The 18,438-nt window shown below is 43.0% G+C and overlaps 1 protein-coding gene across 1 annotated transcript in view, besides 1 other annotated feature; it reads right to left on the bottom strand.

The window, feature by feature from the left end:
* Positions 1–14,835, bottom strand: part of NMNAT2 (nicotinamide nucleotide adenylyltransferase 2) — a 170,144-nt gene extending 155,309 nt beyond the window's left edge. Inside the window, exon 1 of the mRNA NM_015039.4 lies at positions 14,638–14,835. Within this exon, the coding sequence (NP_055854.1) occupies positions 14,638–14,722 (85 nt within the window). The 5' untranslated portion in view covers positions 14,723–14,835. The remainder of the gene's footprint in view (positions 1–14,637) is intronic.
* Positions 9–303: a silencer, noted in NCBI's record as "tiled region #8277; HepG2 Repressive non-DNase unmatched - State 24:Quies". NCBI's record gives its function as "represses a minimal TATA promoter and a strong SV40 promoter by Sharpr-MPRA in HepG2 cells {active_cell/tissue: HepG2}" and the evidence as "EXISTENCE:reporter gene assay evidence [ECO:0000049][PMID:27701403]".
* Positions 14,836–18,438: the final 3,603 nt, after the last annotated feature.

Genomic DNA, 18,438 nt, shown 5'->3' on the forward strand with positions numbered 1-18,438 from the left:
TTGAGAGCTTAGTACGACCACATATGAAACCACAAAGAACCAATCTTAACAAAGCAAGTGCAGTGCGAAGGGCAAATTCCACATGGAGAAGTTGTTCAGGCCTTTTTAATGAATATTCATAGCCATATGATTTACTGGGCAAACTGGGATGTTGGACTTAAACATTCCACAAGGGGTTCAGCAGGGAGTTCTTTATTCACTACATTTAAATGCAAATGATAACAAAATTGCATGACAATACACATTGAAAAGTTGATTTAATGCAGCATAAGAGAAGGATTAGGGAATCAGTAAGAAGGATTTTATTTCAATTCTTTACATGGGTTAAAGTCAGGCCAGACAGAAGCCAAGAATTCAAATGCTATTACAGGGGACAACCTTGTCACCAAACAGGATTTGTTTAATTATTTTTCTCCTTTTGTGAAGAAATGGAAGAAAAAGGGTCCCTATTTTTGTTCATCAAAGATATCTGCAGCTACCCATTAGGACTGCTGATCAGCAGGAGTTTATCTCACCAAACTGATAATAATTCAGGCAAAAGCCCAGAAATGTAATTTTTTTTTTTTTTTTTTGAGATGGAGTTCACATCGTTGCTCAGGCTGGAGTGTGGTGGCACAATCTCAGCTCACTGCAACCTCTGCCTCCCAGGTTCAAGCGATTTTCCTGCCTCAGCCTCCTGAGTAGCTGAGACCACAGGTGCACACTCGGCTAATTTTTGTATTTTAGTAGAGACGGGGTTTCACCATGTTGGCCAGGCTGGCCTTGAACTCCTGACCTCAGGTGATCCACCTGCGTTGGCCTCCCAAAGTGCTGGGATTACAGGCGTGAGCCACTGCACCCAGCCTCAGAAATGTAATATTACACTTAGCTAGCCTGTGCCATATTAAGGGGGAATGCATATGCTTAGAAATACTGGAAGCATTTCCCAGACCCTTTTTCTGACTGATGAGAAATGCTGGTTGTTGAGGGACTCCAAGTGGAAAATCACTGATATAGGAACATCTTCTAACACAGACATTCGTGGCTTTGAAGGGAAAGAGAACTGAATGCTCCATTTCAGAGGAAGAATGGCCCATTGTGTCCAATAGGAGCTCTACTCTGGAGGGAAGCCTTGGAGGCCCCTCATGATGTGAGAAAGATGTGAAAGACAGTGCTTTACAAGCAATGCTTTAAAGGCAATGCCAATGCTGAATTGCCACCCCCGCTGTTGGTCTAGGGTGGAAGCATTATTATATCTGCTCAAAGAAAGGAATTAGACATCTTCCCATACCAACCCTGTCTGCAACCCAAATGGTCAAGCAAACAAATGCAAAATGGGGAAGAAAAACATCCTGTCTGTAAAGGCAGGTCAGATAGACAAAGAAGCAATTATGCACCAACTAAAAGGATCTCAGGCCGGGCGAGGTGGCTTAAGCCTGTAATCCCAGCACTTCGGGAGGACGAGGTGGGATGATCATTTGAGTCCAGGAGTTCGAGACCAGCCTGGGCAACATGGTGAAATCCCATCTCTATAAAAAAGCAAAAATTAGCCAGGCGCGGTTGAATGTGCCTGTAGTCCCAGCTAGTTGGAAGGCTGAGGTGAAAGGATCACGTGAGCCCAGGAGGTCAAGGCTGCAGTGAGCTGTGGTGGCACCACTGAACTCCAGCTTGGGTGACAGAGCAAGACTCTGTCTTTAAAAAAAATGAAAGAAAGGATCTCACCTTCGAAACAATAGGATTCTAGGATTTGCTTCAAAATAATATAGGGCAAGGATTGGGAAGTGGGTAGGGGTATCAGCACATCAAAATGAGCAAGGAATTGATAATTATTGAAGCTGGGTGATAGGTGCATCAAGTTCATTGTTGTATTGTTCTGTTTACTTTTGCATATGTTTAGAATTTTTCATAAGAAAAATGGCTTTTTTATTACTTGGTTTTTAAAAGATTCCACTTCACCCAATGTAAATATGACAGTATCCACCTCTGTTGGGACAAAGTCATCATTGCAGGGAACAAGGTCATTTAGCCACTTACATGGGAGCCCTGGGAATAGGGAAGCGTCCACCACATGGCCATGAGGGAGGAGCTAGACAAAACTAAGACTTTAAGACATGGACAAGAGTTGACTGGAGCTTTCAACAGAGCTCTTTTTATTTTTATTGTTTTTTTTGTTTGTCTTTTGTAGAGACGAAGTCTCACTTCAAGAGAACTTGTTTTAAAAATAACAGCCCTTTCAGTGAAATATCAGAAAACAAACTTGATAATTTCAGAATTCAGAAACGCTTAGTCTCAGCCCTGCCTGGGAACGTGCAAAGTGTCTTTGCTATTCCAAAGGCAGGATGTTATTCCCAGTGTGTGGTTGACATCTCACACAACTAAGTATGTGCACTGACCTGCAAAGTTCTGGAAGGTACCACGTCTTGACAATACACCAGTTAGATTTTTTAATAAATTGGAATAGTTTAGCAGTTAGTCCACCAAATGACAAATTTTTCAGAATGTCAGGACATTTTAACATGCAAGTAGCTATAGCTTACCTAACTTGATTCATTTAGAAAAAGAGAGAGACAGTGCCACAAATAAAGGGATTACTTGCTATGCTAAGTTCAATGATAGATAAGACAGCACAATCAGGCCACATCAGAATGCAGTATCATGAATTGAATTGAATAGAGGGATGTAGACAATGAAGGTATGTTTAAAGGGGATAAGGCAGGATGCTATGAAGACTGGGAATGTAATGACATCCAGATAAAAAGAACTAGAGCTTGTGAAGCCGAAAGAGAAGGGTGCTGGGACAGAGTAGCTGTCTCCACCTATTTGAATGTCTCACAGTGGAAGACAAATTAAACTTGCTGCATGGATCTCGAGGAAAAGAACTAGGTCCAACACATGGGAGTCTCAGGAAGCCCACTGTCAGCTCGATAGAAAGGACAATCTTAAAAAAAGTGCAATTGTGCCAAATGCTATTTGGCTGCTTTGGAAAATAGTGCATTCTCTGGACCTGAAAGATCTCAAGCAGAGATTGGACAGAAACTTGTAAAGATGTTTTAAAAGGGATTTCAGAACTGGAAGACTATCTGCACAATTTTGAAATCTGCTTCAAATGGAGATTCTGTGATTTCTGAAGATGCAAACTTAACAATCAATAAACCAACGGTTTTTGGTTTTGTTCGCTCAAAGTAGAGTAAGTACTTTACAAAGCTTCACTTCACTAGGTGTCATGTACCTAAAACCTTTTTCAAACTGCAACTAAATAAAAAAGAAACTCAACTGCTCTGCCATTCCTTTTTTTTTTTTTTTTTTTTTTTTGAGACAGAGTCTCACTCTGTTACCCAGGCTGGAGTGCAGTGGCGAGATCTCAGCTCACTGCAACCTCCACTTCCTGGGTTCAAGCAATTTTCCTGCCTCAGCCTCCTGAGTAGCTGGGATTACAAGCACATGCCACCACACCTGGCTAATTTTTGTATTTTTAGTAGAGATGGGGTTTCACCATGTTGGTCAGGTTGATCTCGAACTCCTGACCTCGTGATCTGCCCGCCTCAGCCTCCCAAAGTGCTGGGATCATAGGCGTGAGCCACTGCACCTGGCCTGATCTGCCATTCTTAAACCCACTTTTGCCTCACTGAAAAATAATTCCTACATGTCCCATGCACCCGCCTGAAGTGTCCAGTGGATACTTGACTCCATATTTTTCACTCCTGCCAAGTTACACACTTCATAGCTCCCAAACATGACTTGCAGGTTCCCACTGTGGATATCTGGGAAGAAGCATGAGCTTTTCTATATTGAGGCAAGAATTATCTTGATTTTGAAGTCCCTAAGTCACTGGCACCTCGTGTTTGCTGTCTGTCCTGTTTTTTTTGGTTCTGTCTTGCTTGAATCTCTGTTTTCCTGTATTTTCTGGTTCCTAAATGCTTGTCTTTTTTTTTCTGAGCATCTATTTTGCCTAGATGTTGAGATTCTGAATATTCCTAACAGTTTAATCATTCATTCATTTGCTAAATATTTTAAGTATCTTCATGTTCCTAGAACACTGTGCTGGGCACCTTAGGAGATACAAAAAACCATATGACCTTGGCTAGAACTTATATCTGATAGATAATATGAGGCATGGACAGAAATAACTACAACCCATAGCACAATGTGCTAAGTACTATAAGAGAGGTACAAACCAAGTGCTATCAACGTTCAGAGGGAAGTGAGATGCTGCAGAAAAACTAGATATGACTGCAAGAGCACGCCTGATGCAATTGGTGTGCTAATTTTCTAATCATCAAATATAAGGTATATAAGATATTACATTTAAAGAAGGAGGTAGCTATGAAACAAGAAAAGGATAAATGTGTTCTGAGAAAGTATACCTAATGTTCAACAGCAGATAAATGTCCAACATTAGCCAGAGTTGTGAATCAATGTCCACTGTAAACCAAACACCAGAAAATCATCCCCACCATGAACATGGCCATTTACCCAGTCAGCCAGAAAAATTACAATTATGAAATTGAAACTACATTTGCTGCTTAAATGAGTCTTTTTAGAGATTTAGTTTAGACTGAAAATTGTTCGTTAAACAGTTTCTCTGGGTAATGGACTTCAACAGCACTTCCTATTTTAAGAACACTTTAGATACTTCCATTCCAACACCCAGAGGTAGGTTATTCCAGGGGTTGGCAAGCTTTCTGTAAATGTTCAGATAGTAAATAATTTTGGTTTTGCAGTCCATAAAGTTTCTGTCACAACCACTCACCTCTGTTGTTTCAGTGCAAAAACATCCAGAGATAATACATACATGAATGAGAGTGGCTATGTGCCAATAAAACTTTATGAATAGTAAAATTTTATTTTATAAAATTTATATGTATCACAAAATATTATTGTTATTTTACATTTTTTTTCAACCATTTAAAAATGTAAAAAGCCATCCTTAGCTTGCAGGCCTTAAAAAATCGGGTAGCTGTCCACATATGGCCTGCAGGCCATAGTTTGCCGACCTCTGAGTTATGTCAATCACCTTATTTTACAAATGAGAAAGATAAGGCTCCAGCAGACTAAGTATACTCCCAGATCAATAGCCATTCAGTTTATTAGTTTCCATATAAACAGAAAAAATGGAGTGATAGGAAAAACTGGGGCCTTTACCCATTCTTTGTCAACACTGTTAACAGCAAGAGAACCTGATATAATATCTATAAATTTTGATTCCCTGGGGTATAACAAGTAAATAATTTTTAAATGGTGCTTAGCAAGATTGGTTCATGGAAAATGAAGCAATTATGGCTTGAATTTATATGTACAATATTTATTGTCTTAATTTTAATTTAAAACGAATGACATGTCTCTTTTTTTAAAAAAAGTCTTCTTTTAAAGATCTTGTAGTTGATGTGATGAGCTATGCACTGCTAAATATTTATCCACACATAAATATTTGAAAAGGAATATGAATAGTCATGGATGTAGTTTCATCTCAGTGCTCCATGGAGGAAGTGTTTCACCTCTCTGTGGGTACTAAGATGAAGGGTTGGAAAAATGTTGAAGAATAAAGCATTGGTGGGCACGGTGGCTCACACTTGTAATCCTAGCACTTTGGGAGGCTGAGACAGGAGGATCACTTTAGCCTAGGAATTTGAGGCCAGACAGGGCAACAAAGTGAGACCATGTCTCTAAAAATTAAAAAAAAATTAAATTAAATTTTAAATAAAGCATCAGAAAACCCAACCCCTTACCATAGTGTCACTTTATTGAGTTTTTTAAATGGTAAATAATTTCAATAGTCATGGAGAATGATATATTTTTGTTTTTGTTTTCTTGAGACAGAGTCTCTCTCTTTCACCCAGGCTAGAGCACAGTGGCATGATCATGACTCACTGCAGCCTCAACCTCATGGGCTCAAGCCATCCTCCCACCTCAGCCTCCAGAGTAGCTGGGACTGCAGATGCACACCACCACACCTGGCTAATTTTTAAATTTTCTGTAGAGATGGGATCTCCCTATGCTGCCCAGGCTGGTCTCGAACCCTTGGCCTCAAGTGATCCTCCCACCTCGGCCTCCCAAAGTGCTGAGATTACAGGTGTGAGCCACTGTGCCCAGCCAGAACCATAGTTTTATAAGAATAGAAATAGGTCTTGATCAAGACCTCCAGGATTAGTGCTAAAAACAAGTGTCAAAAGACAGGATCTCTACAGTGCTTACTTTTCAGACAATTAAGCCTGTGGAGAAGAAAGCAGGCACATATTCAAATCCAACAAAATCATGGAAGATAAAACTAGGGTGAACTGAGTTCACCAAATCTGAGAATACTTGAGCAACAAGGGCATTCCAGTGAAGCACAGTAAAATCTAGATCCTAGGCAAGAACAACCTATCAGGGGGGTGAATTTTTTGCTTGTTTGTTGTTATTTTGGTGGGTTGTACAGCAATAGAATTTCTCACTTATGTATTTCCTCAACAGATATACTTTATACAATGTACAATGGTTCCATTTCAGAAAATAATAAAATCGTGGCTGGGCATGGTGGCACACCCCTGCAATCTCAGCACTTTGGGAGGCTGAGGCAGGCGGATCACCTGAGGTCAGGAGTTCAAGACCAGCTGGGCCAACATGGTGAAATCCTGTCTCTACAAAAATAATACCAAAAAAAAAAAAAAAAATAGCCGGGCATGATGGCGGGTGCCTGTAGTCCCAGCTACTCTGGAGGCTGAGGCATGAGAATCACTTTAACCCGGGAGGTGGAGGTTGCAGTGAGCTGAGACAGAGCCACTGCACTCTAGCCTGGGCGGCAGAGTGAGACTCCATCTCAAAAAATAAAAATAAATAAAAAATAAATAAATAAAATCATGAAAAGAAAGAAAAAGAAAAAATCCACTTCAAAGAGTGATACAGAAATAATAACTTTAAAATGTTTAGATAAAATCACAATGGCAGCTCCCTACTGAACTGCTAACAAAGGGAACACTGACATTTGGGATGCAGGTCCAACATCTGCCATGTACTCCTTTGCCCATCACCTTTCGAGGCCCACTAAAAAAAATGCTGGGTCAGATCTGAACTGCTTGGCACTGCCCCCCTTCCAACCTGTTTTCTGGCTCTCTCATCTGTCCTTCCCTGTGCTCACCTGCACTCTAGCAAGTTCCCTAGAAATTCCTTAATGCGCCATGCTGTTGAGGCTTCCATACATATCCTGCTCTCTTCCCAGAATGCCATTCTCTCTCTCTTTTTTTTAATTTCCTTTTTTTTTTTTAAGAGATGAAGTCTTGCTTTGTTGCCCAGTCTGGTCTTGAACTTCTGGGCTCAAGTGATCCCTCCATCTCAGCCTCCCAAGTAGCTGGGACTACAGCCACATGCCAACACACCCAGCTAATTTTTTAAATTTTTGTAGAGATGGGGTCTCATTATAAATTCCAGGCTGGTCTCCAAATCCTGGGCTCAAGCAATCCTCCCATCTTGGCCTCCCAAAGTGCTGGGATTACAGGTGTGAGCCACCACGCCCAGCCAAGAATGCCTTTCTCTATTCTGTCCACTTGGCAGCTTCAACTTTCAAGCTCAAACTCTCACTAACACCTGCTCTAATGGCCCATCTACCATGTCCAGAGTGGTAACTTCCTCCATGTTCCCACTTTACCTCATTCTCACCTCTTTTGTAACACTTTTCACCTCAATTGCTTTGTTTAGTTTGTTATCTCCTCTAGAGATCATCAATAGCCATAGAGCCTTCCTGACTCTATCATTCCTGGCAGTAAGTCTACCATAGACTTGAGATGAGGAATCTAATATCTCACTCATTACTCATTCAATAAACATTTTTTTTTAAGATGGAGTCTCACTCTGTCACCCAGACTGGAGTGCAGTGGTGCGATCTTGGCTCACTGCAACCTCCACCTCTGACCGTCCCACCTCAGCCTCCTGAGTAGCTAGGATTACAGGCATGCACCACCAGGCCTGGCAAATTTTTTGGAATTTTTAGTAGAGACAGGGTTTCCCCATATTGCAGACTGCTCTGAAACTCCTGACCTCAAGTGATCTGCTTGCTTCAGCCTCCCAAATTGCTGGGATTACAGGCCTGAGCCACCGCACCTGGCCTCAACAAATGTTTAATGAGCACTCACTGTATGCCAGGCACTGTCCTAGGAGCCTGAGATACATTAATGAGCAGAGTAAACAAAGATCTCTGCTCTTGAGGAGCTCTAGCTGGGGAGACAGGCATTGAATAATAAGCATAAGAAAACAAGAAATAACATGCTTTGTTTAAAGGTGATAAGTACGAAGGGGAAAAGATATAAGTAGAGCAGAATAACAGGGACTGGGAGTGTGTGAGGTGCAATTTTAAATTATGTGATCAGGGGAGTAGGTTCTGCCAAGTGGACAATGAGGAGAAGGTTACATTTGAGTAAAGAATTGGAGGAGGGGAGCGAATGAGACATGGGCTAGGTGGGGAAGGGCATTCCCAGCAAAGGGAACATTCAGCACAAAGACTCTAAGGCCAAAGCAAAGATGTTCCATGGGGTTAGCTAAGAATGAAGTGGAAGAGATGCGTTAGGGTGGAGGTGGGGGGCAGAGTGGCTGATCATGGAGGCCTGTAGGCCATGATGATGACTTTGACTTTGATTGACAGAGATACGGAGCTCTGGAGGATTTGGAGCAAAGGAGCAACATGATCTGACTTAGATTTGGCTTACATTTTGAAAGGATCACTCTGTTTTTTTGTTTGTTTGTTTATTGAGACGGAGTCTCGCTCTGTCTCCCAGGCTGGAGTGCAGTGGTGCAATCTCAGCTCACTGCAACCTCCGCCTCCCGGGTTCAAGTGATTCTCCTGCCTCAGCCTCCCAAGTAGCTGGGACTACAGGCATGTGCCACCACGCCCGGCTAATTTTTTGTATTTTTAGTAGAGATGGGGTTTCACCTTGTTAGCCAGGATGGTCTCGATCTCCTGACCTCATGACCCACCTGCCTTGGCCTCCCAAAGTGCTGGGATTAGAGGTGTGAGCCACCATGCCCGGCCAAAAGGATCGCTCTGATAATTTGTTAAGAAATGAGTGTTGCAACCAAGAGTGGAAGCAGAGAGACCAGTTAAGAAGCTATTGCAATAATTCAAATGAAAGTTAACAGTGGTTTGCACCAGGGATGTAGATGGAGAGAGGTTGTTGGTCTTAGTTATATTTTGAAGATAAAGAGATTCCAAAACATTTGGACATAAATAGTGTGTCCAAAACAGGGAATAATTAAGCATTAGTCCAAGGTTTTTGGCCTAAGAAACTGAAACAAGAATAAAACTATAAGCATTTAGTCTTATCTAGGGAATATGCTTTACTATCTCTTCTACTGCCTGGTAAATATTAAATGAGGTCAATATGTTGCAGCATGTCTATTCATGTGGAGGCAATTTGATGTAGGAGGAAAAACAGAAAAAGAATGCTATTTAGCTGCCATCACTTCCAGGGGTTAGCCTCAGAGTCTTGCTCCTTTGCTACTTCCTCCTCTTAACCTCTTATTGCCATGATTATAAGAATTTTCCTGGCTGGCTCACTTGTATAATGCTAAAGAGAATTATGCATTAAATTTAAGAAAAAATAGCTTAATGGCAGTATGGTTTAAAGAAGTTCAAATAAAGTGGCTTCATGATTAGGATGATAATGGGGAAGATGATGATACTAGTAGTGGTCGTAATATTTGCCTTTGCTGCAGAGTTTACAAATCATGGAGACACTGGAAGATGTAAAGGGAGGAGGGAGCCAATACCAGGAGGATGGCCTTGGTCACAGCCAGAAATGACCAAATTCAATTCTTTTTCTGGGCTCAAGCGGACCTTTCACCTCAGCCTCCTGTGTAGTTAGGACTACAGGCACCATGTCCTCCTGTTTTTGGTCACATTCTCCTGGATGCTGGTGGAGGGACTACTGCTGGAGAGCACGGTGGTGGCTGTGAGCATGCACCCAGCCTAAGCATGAGACTCTACTATGCCACAGGCTGGGGTACTTGGAAAATGATTATAGTAGATCTTGTGCCATTTGAGTTATCAGTATTGTGGGTCTTTTCGAAGAAATATGATTTTTCTAAAGAAATATTAATTTTCTTTTCTTTCTTTTTTTTTTTTTTTTTTTTTTGAGACGGAGTCTCGCTCTGTCGCCCAAGCTGGAGTGCAGTGGCGCGATCTCGGCTCACTGCAAGCTCCGCCTTCCGGGTTCGCGCCATTCTCCTGCCTCAGCCTCCTGAGTAGCTGGGACTACAGGCGCCCGCAACCACGCCCAGCTAATTTTTTTGTGTTTTTAGTAGAGATGGGGTTTCACCGTGTTCGCCAGGATGGTCTCGATCTCCTGACCTCGTGATCCGCCCGCCTCGGCCTCCCAAAGTGCTGGGATTACAGGCATGAGCCACCGCGCCCGGCCTAGAAATATTAATTTTCAAAAACAGCGGCTGCCATAAGTTTCCAATTCCAATTGTTCTCACTGAAGCTTATTTCAGAAAGCTCTCCCTGATATTAACCACCCGACCTGAATGAATGACTCCTTGCAACCTGGTTATTCCTCTCTGTCAGGCATTAGACCTCTGACTGGCTTAAAAGGAGGAAAGATGCTAGACTTTGGTAATTTTTGGAGACAATATCAGAGCGCAGTGAAAAGATAATAGTTTTTGGAGTCATGGATTTAAACTGCAGCTAGCAGAAACAGGAGTTTGAGGCTGCAGGAAGCCATGACCCTGCTGCTGCTCTACAGCCTGGGCAACAGAGCAAGACCCTATATCTACAAATTAAAATAGAAAAAAATACAAAAAATAGCTAGAAATATTTCTGCTGTGATGAAATTCCCCAATTCCTCTGTTTTTGTTTATATAGCCAAAATAATCTGAGCTGTCCTTTCTTACTTTTCTATTTAAACTTGCTCTCTGACTTCCCAGTGGTAGATTTATTGACAAATATAGCTATAAATGTAAAGAAAGCTACATTAAATTATAATCTCTACATAGTTAAAAACTAAGCAGTTACATTTTTTAAAACTTCCAATTCCACATTATCTTCTTATGTAATGAGGCAGACCCATGAGATATGACATCACTCATTTATGAGTTTACTTTGCCAAAAACTTTTACTCATCCCTGAAAGCATTTTAGTTACAGTTGAGTATACAAGTGTCAAATATCTCTCACAAATACTATTTTTTCCTGTATGTTTCTATAGTTTCAAATAGGAGAAATAATATCAACTTCCCTTTCAGAGTAAAAGAAAAGTTCATTCTAAAAATATTTACAAATATTGAGAATTGTACAAGTGCTACTTTACAAAGATGAAGAGTGAGTTTTGAATGTCACTTCTCTTTTTGTTTACAGTCTCTCTTTTTCCTTTGATAAGAAATTGAATTTCAGGATATAGGAGCTCTATTTAAAATGCCTAATTTCAAAGTCTTGTTTGTGTCTGTTTTTTAAAAAAAAATTATTACAAATTTCAGTCACCTTAAAGAAAGCTTGAAAAAAAATTTTTAAGGCAGAGTCTGGCTGTATTACCTAGAATAGAGTGCAGTGTGCTATCTTGGCATACTGCAACCTCTGCCTCCCAGGCTTCCACCTCAGCCATCCTCCCACCTCAGCCTCCACAGTAGCTGGGACTACAGGCATGCAACACCATACCTGGCTAATTTTTATATTTTTTGTAGAGATGGGGTTTCACCATGTTGCCAAGTCTGGTCTCAAACTCCTGAGCTCATGTGTTAATGTCCATCTTCACCTCCCAAAGTGCTGGGATTGTAGGAGTGAGCCACCACACCTGGCCAAAAGTTTGATAATTTAGTTGTATTAATTATTTCCGTGTTGTCACAGAGAAAATTTTTAAAGCAATTTAAAAGGAGGAAATAGTTCATAAATAACTGGTTTCTTTAGACATGAGACAAAGATCTTAAGGAAAAGCACATATATGAATCTCACTTAGTTGATGGCCAGTTTAATTCTCTTAGTTTATGGTTCATGAAAATAGAGTGTTCATGGAATTATGCAGTCAGAAGATGAGCGGGCACTTCCTCCAGCCTTTGTTGCAGTATGAAGGCCTCTGCAAGAGGAATCAGGAACATGAGGCTCAAGTCTCAGTGCCACCCATTCTCCATGTGTGTTCATAAGTCACTTGGCTTCTGTCAGTTTCTCATTTGTAAAATAAGGGTAATAATGTTTTTCTTATAAGGTTTTTAACAGGAATAAGTAACATAACATAGATGAAATGGCTTTGTTAACCAGAACTGCTCTACAAAAATAAATTATAAAATTTATCCAGAGCTCAAAGATTCCAATAAGACATTCTACCAAAAATAGTTGAATGTGTATTTTGTGTTCTTATTCTTGCCTCATTTTCACCTGTTTATGTGCTAAATTCTTCATTAGGTAATAAACTCCTTAAAGCCATAGTGAGTGAACATATTATATCCTTTTTTTGTATTACTCTCTGAATTATACTTTAATGGACATGCAAAGGACTTTGTTCACATTCTGCCCTGGTCCTCAGTTCTTATACTAAGTAAATAATCGTTACTGCCAAAAGTCTCCTTTCACCTTTCTATATCTAAACCCTTCCACTGCAACTCAGGTCTATTTCCACATAGTCTATCCTTGAAGCTCATGGAGAATTGGCAGGTCAGCATTCGCTTAACAAAAGCCTTTATTACTGTTAACAAAGAATCTTCAGCTACAAGACAGAATCTTTGGTTCTCAATCCAAATCTGTTTCTCTTGTAATCTAAAACAACTGGGATTTCCTAGCTTCAGGAAGAAAGGAGCAGTACCTGCTGGGTCATCAAAGATTCTTAGAGCCACAGAGTTTCATCCCCAGCCCAATGGCTCTTCCCTACTCCTCCTTTCTCTTGGTTCCAAAGGAAAACCCATCATTGCCTGGTCAAGGGAGAGGAGTAAAGCGCATCAACATAAAGTGCTAGAGGACATATGGACAGACAGGAAAAGAAGGAAAGGGATGAAGACACCAGCATCAAAGGAAAGTGAAAGTGGAGTGTTCTTAGGGCACTGATAGTCCTTAGAAGACTGATGACATGCTCTTGTCTACCCTGATGCTGGAACAGAAGTCCTTATTTAACAGGCAAGTTGGCATTGGTTCTTAATAAAAGACTTTTGAAAGCTGAAGGAATGGTGAAGAAGGGATGGCTATCTCTCAGCCTCCCTCCTTCTATCGTGTAGATATGCCTACCCGATTTGCCCTTTGCTCAAAGTAGTTCTATATTCTTTCCATGAGGTTTTTAACAAGCGAGCCCAGTTCAGCGCACCTTTTAAGTTTAAAGATGAATATTTTTAGCCTAAGCCACCTCGCCCTGTCTTTACCGCTGTGGTGTGGTTTTCACTAAACCTCCCTAGGAGGGCTCGCGCAGTCCTCAGGCTCCGGATAAACACGTGTGCCCGCATCCAGCTCCGGCGCGCCCTGCATTTCAGCACCGCCGCCTCTGGAGAGCGCCTTGCTGGCGGGCCAGGTCAGGGCCTCCCACACGCTCTCTCATCCATCCCAGCCCACTCGCTTTTCCCTACTCCTCGCTTCTCTCAGTTTCAAGAAAAAGCACCCCCAACTTCTAACTTCTCAATTCCTGCTTCTAAAGTGACCTCCGCGTCCCTCTTTCCGTGTCTAAACGCTCATGCCCCACGCCTTTGAGTCCTACGAGCAGCTGCGAAGCCGCGTGGCTTCCCACCGGTGGCGCGAGACCTCCAATAGGCATCTATCGATCACCTTTCCCCTACCGCTGCTGGACCCCGAACCAGCCAGCCGGATGCCCCCGCTCGCTCTCTCTGACTCCACGCCCCAAAGCTTCTAAGAAACAAACGCGCGATAAGTCCCCTCCCCCCAACACGCACACGCATATACTCACACACAGTCATTCGCACATTCGTACACACACTAGACGCCTCAAGCCTTCCGAGTGCCATCGCCACCCTGGGCAGAGCCTCAGCCAACTTGGGCCCCGATCCTTCGGCTCCGGCTCGCGCAGGGCCTCCCGCAGCCTCCGCCCGGCCCCCTCCCCGTCCTAGGCAGCGGGTCCCTGAGGCCGAACCTAGGCGGAAAAGGGCCCCCTCCCTATTCACTCAGCATCCACCTCGCGCGGGCAATACACGGCCCACAATTCCCAAACACTGGTCCCTGGGCCGCCCAGAATCACCAGCCAAATCCGAAATTAATCTTGAAGCCCCAGCCCCTGTCACCGGTGTGTCGGGCGCGAGTGTGTTTGCGAATCCCAGGCACATACATGATTTAACTCCTTCGAGCTTTCGGCCCATCCTAAACAAACAGCACGTTATCTCCAGCCCCTTCCTCCCCTACTCGGCGCCCCAACCTCTGCCCCCATCCCGGTCTTCGCCAGCCTGGTAGCCGAACCACCGCACCGCCACACTCCAGTTCTGGTATCTCGAACCCCTGCCCAGCCCCAAATGATACTCATCTCTAGTCCCCTCCCATCCCCCACCTTTGGCCCCCTGCGAGCCGGGTCTGGCCCCGGCAAGTGACGCCTCGGAAACGCAGTCTGCGTACCCTCCCCTGAGTCCAAAATGAAGGGGCCGACCTCCACCAGCTGGATGAGCCGGCCCACCCCTCCGAAGGGGCACACGCCTTCCCGTTCGATCGCCCTGGAAAACACAGGTGCCTGGGAAAGGAGAGGAGCGGAAGCGGCTTCCAGAGGTGGGCGGGAGGACTCACCAAACATCTGAATGTGCCCTTTGGTGATGGGATTGAAGCTGCCGCAGGCGAGCAAGATAACGTGGGTCTTGGTGGTCTCGGTCATGGTGCAGATGGGTCCTTCGCGGTGGTCTAGGGGTTGCCTCTCTTTTTGTGTCTCGTTGTGTCTGCAGAGGGAGAAAGGAAGGCGAGGCTCCGGCGGTGGATGCTGTGGACTCCAAGGAGCCGCTCCAGACGCAAACCGCGTCACTCTCCGCCTCCCCTTAACGCTTGCAGCTCCGGCTAGATCCGAGGCTGCTTTTGTATTGCTCTGCTCTCTTCTCTCCTCGGTCGCTCTCTTTTCGTTCTGGCTTCCTTCGCATCTCTCGCCTGGTGCCCCACCCCATCCTCTCTATCGCCCCCAGCCCACTTCACTCCATCACTGTCTTCCTTAGAGTTTATCCAGAAGGCAAGACGTGGTATCCAAGCTCAGAACCAAGAGCCCACAGCATGGTGTGAGCTCTTTCTGCCTCTTGCCTCATCTTGATTCAGTTTTCCTCCTCATTCTAACATTTTTCTGTCCCCCCTACTTTCTCTAACATCTCCAAGTTAAAAAATGTTTGATCTTAAGGTATTTTTTCTTTCTCTCTTCCTCAAAATTTTAAGTGAGAAATGACCATTGTTTATTTCAGTAGTATTCATTTCTGCTTTTCCTTTTTCCTTTATCTGATGATTCCAAACTATTGAGTTGAGTCCAAATCTTGATCTGCTGGCTGCAGAGAGATAGGGGTGATCTAAGCCCTTCCTCTGCAATACTGATCCTTTTCGTGGGCGAAGCAATGCTATCCGTTTGAGAGAACATGAAGGGGGCAGAGTTACTAAAACTGTATTAGAAAATTATGGGGATCCGCCGGGTGCGGTGGCTCATGCCTGTAATCTCAGCACTTTGGGAGGCCGAGGCGGGCGGATCACGAGGTCAGGAGTTCGAGACCAGCCTGGCCAGCACGGTGAAACCCTGTCTCTACTAAAAAGCAAATACAAAAACTAGCCGGGCATGGTGGCGAGTGCTTGTAATCCCAGCTACTCAGGAGGCTGAGGCAGGAGAATTGCTTGAACCTGGGAGGCAGAGGTTGCAGTGAGCGAAGATCGCACCACTGCACTCCAACCTGGGCGACAGCGAGAATCCATCTCGAAACAAAAAAAAAGAAAAAAGAAAATGATGGGGATCCTCCATAAGCTACCAAAGTTGAGACAAAGACTTACCATTTAACAAGTGTTTCTTGAGGGCTCATTATGTGTCAAGTATTGCTATAAACCCTGCTGGTGAAGCAAAGTCACTGTCTTCATTTTACTGGAGGAAGATAGACAATAAATATTAGATGGCAATTGTGCAATGCACAGTAAGTGAATGCAATTTACTCTCTGACAGAGCAGAGAGTGAGTGGAGAAGAGAGGACGAATCAAGTAGTCTGAGAAGGCCTCTCTGGGGAGGTGACATTTCAGTGAGACCTGAGCGACAGGAGTAGTTGCTAGCTCACGTATTCAGGGACAGGGAAGGGCTTACTGTATTCATAGAAATGAAAGGCCAGTGATGCTAGAAAGTATGGGCAAGGGGAAAAATGATAGAAGACTGAGCAGCAGGTGATCAGGGCCAGATCAAATGGGGCTTGTAGACTAGGGCAAGAGTTAGACACTTTTCTAAGTGGAATAATAACAAAAGGAAGCCACTGAAGCTTTTAAGCAGGGGAATAATATGTAATTTACATTTTTATAGGATCACTCTGGCTGCTGGGTGGAAAGGGAGGGCAAATGGGAAGACAAGGAAAGCATTTAGGAAAATCTGGTAGCCTAGGCAAGTGGAGTTGTCCTGAGACCAGGGTTTATAGAGACGGGAGCAACGAGAAGTAGATGGTCTCAGGATATGTTTTATAGATTTTGAAATTTGGCTTAAACAATGAGTAGACTGAAATTGAGAATGGTAGGGGAAGATAGATGTTCTATGCTTATACAACAGAAAGAACCAATAATTCTTTGCAGATGAATTGGATATAGAGGATAATTCTTTTTTTTTTTTTTTTTTTTTTTGAGACAGGATCTCACTCTGTCACCCAGGCTGGAATGCAGTGGCATGATCTCAGCTCACCACAGCCTCGATCTCCTGGACTCAAGCAATCCTCCCACTTCGGCCTTGCAAGTAGCTGGGACTACAGGTGTTTGCCACCATGTCCAGCTAATTCTTCGTGTTTTTTGTAGAGATGGGATCTCACTATATTGCCCAGGTTGGTCTTGAACTCCTGACCTCAAGCAATCCACCCACGGCAGCCTCCCAAACTGTTGAGATTAAAGGCATGGGCCACAGACCCAGCCAGAGCCAATAATTCTTAACTTAGAGATTGACAAGTACAAATACGTACCTATCCTGGGCTTCAAGTTTCTTGGATAAATTTCCACCCCATATTAGTGAGTTGGTCACTGTGTTTTTTCTTATCCAAGAGCATGTGGTAGGTGTGGAGTAAATATTTGTTAAATTATGATGAATAGCAAATCAACCCTAATACGCATAAAATTTCTAGTTTAAATAGAAGACTCCTAAGAACTGATATATATTTATAATGGGGTTTGTATCTTCCCTAATATGATATGCAGATTAGTGGCTTAAAAAGAGCTAGAGCTTGTAAAGGGAGGTTGACTCAGGTATGAAACTGAGACTCACTAGCTAGGCAATTGACATAATTATAGTTAAGCAATCAATATTTATTGAGTGTCAGCCATGCACCAAGCCCTGATTTAGGGGCTGTGAACAAAACAGAGTCCCTGCTTTAATACAGCTCACATTCCAGGGGAAAACAACAGACCATAAACAAATGAATAAACATAATGGTAAAAAGTACCATAAAGAAAAATAAAGCAGAATGTGAAGAAAAGAGAAAGAAAGAAAATCCTCTTTTATTTGCAGGGGTCAAAGATGGCCTCTTTGATAAGACAGTGTTTGAACAGGGACCTAAATGAAGTGAAGGTATGTGTCACTTGAATATCTAGGGAAGAATATACCAGGCAGGACTGCTAGTATAAAGGATCGGAAGACTAAGAGTGCTTGGGGGTGTTTGACAAGCACACCAAGGTGACTGGAGAAAACAAAGAATGTGGAAAGCACTCAAAGACAGGTCCAAAAAGAAGGACAGATCATACAGGGCCTTGTAGGTCTTAATTAAGGCTCTGGTTTTTTCACTTAGAAGGGATGGGAAGCCATTCGAGGGTTTTGAGTGGAGAAGTGACATGAGGTGACTCAACGTTTGAAAAGTATGTTTGGCAGAAGATATAAATTTTGGAGTCTTCAGTGTAGTTTATATTTAAAGTCATGGGACTAGATGAGGTTACCTAGGGAGAAACAGATATACAGAGTGAAAAGGAGGTCCTCAGTTTCAACCCTGGGGCACACCAAATTAATAATAGTAGCTAACATTCATTGGGTGTTACTAGAAGCCCAAGCACTGTAAAATGTTTACAGATGTTAACTCTTTAACACTCACAATAACTCTGTGAGTTTGTATGATTTTATTCTATCTTAGAGATAAGCCTACAGGGGCACAGGGAAATTAAGTAACTGGTCTGGGTTGAGACTGCTAGCATGTATGGAACCAGATTCAAACCCTGACAGTTTTGATTGAAGGCCCTACTCTTGATACAAGGCTACTCTCTCATCTTGTTTCCCTGCTATGCTATACTGGCCATATTTGTAAAATGAGGAAAACAATACCCACCAAGCTGCAGAGATGTGAAGATTAGAGGTAATGTATGTAGAACACCTAGCATATAGTAGATGATCAATAAATGATAGCTAGT

This window comes from Homo sapiens, chromosome 1 (assembly GCF_000001405.40).
Source record: "Homo sapiens chromosome 1, GRCh38.p14 Primary Assembly".
Classification (NCBI taxonomy): Eukaryota; Metazoa; Chordata; class Mammalia; order Primates; family Hominidae; genus Homo; species Homo sapiens.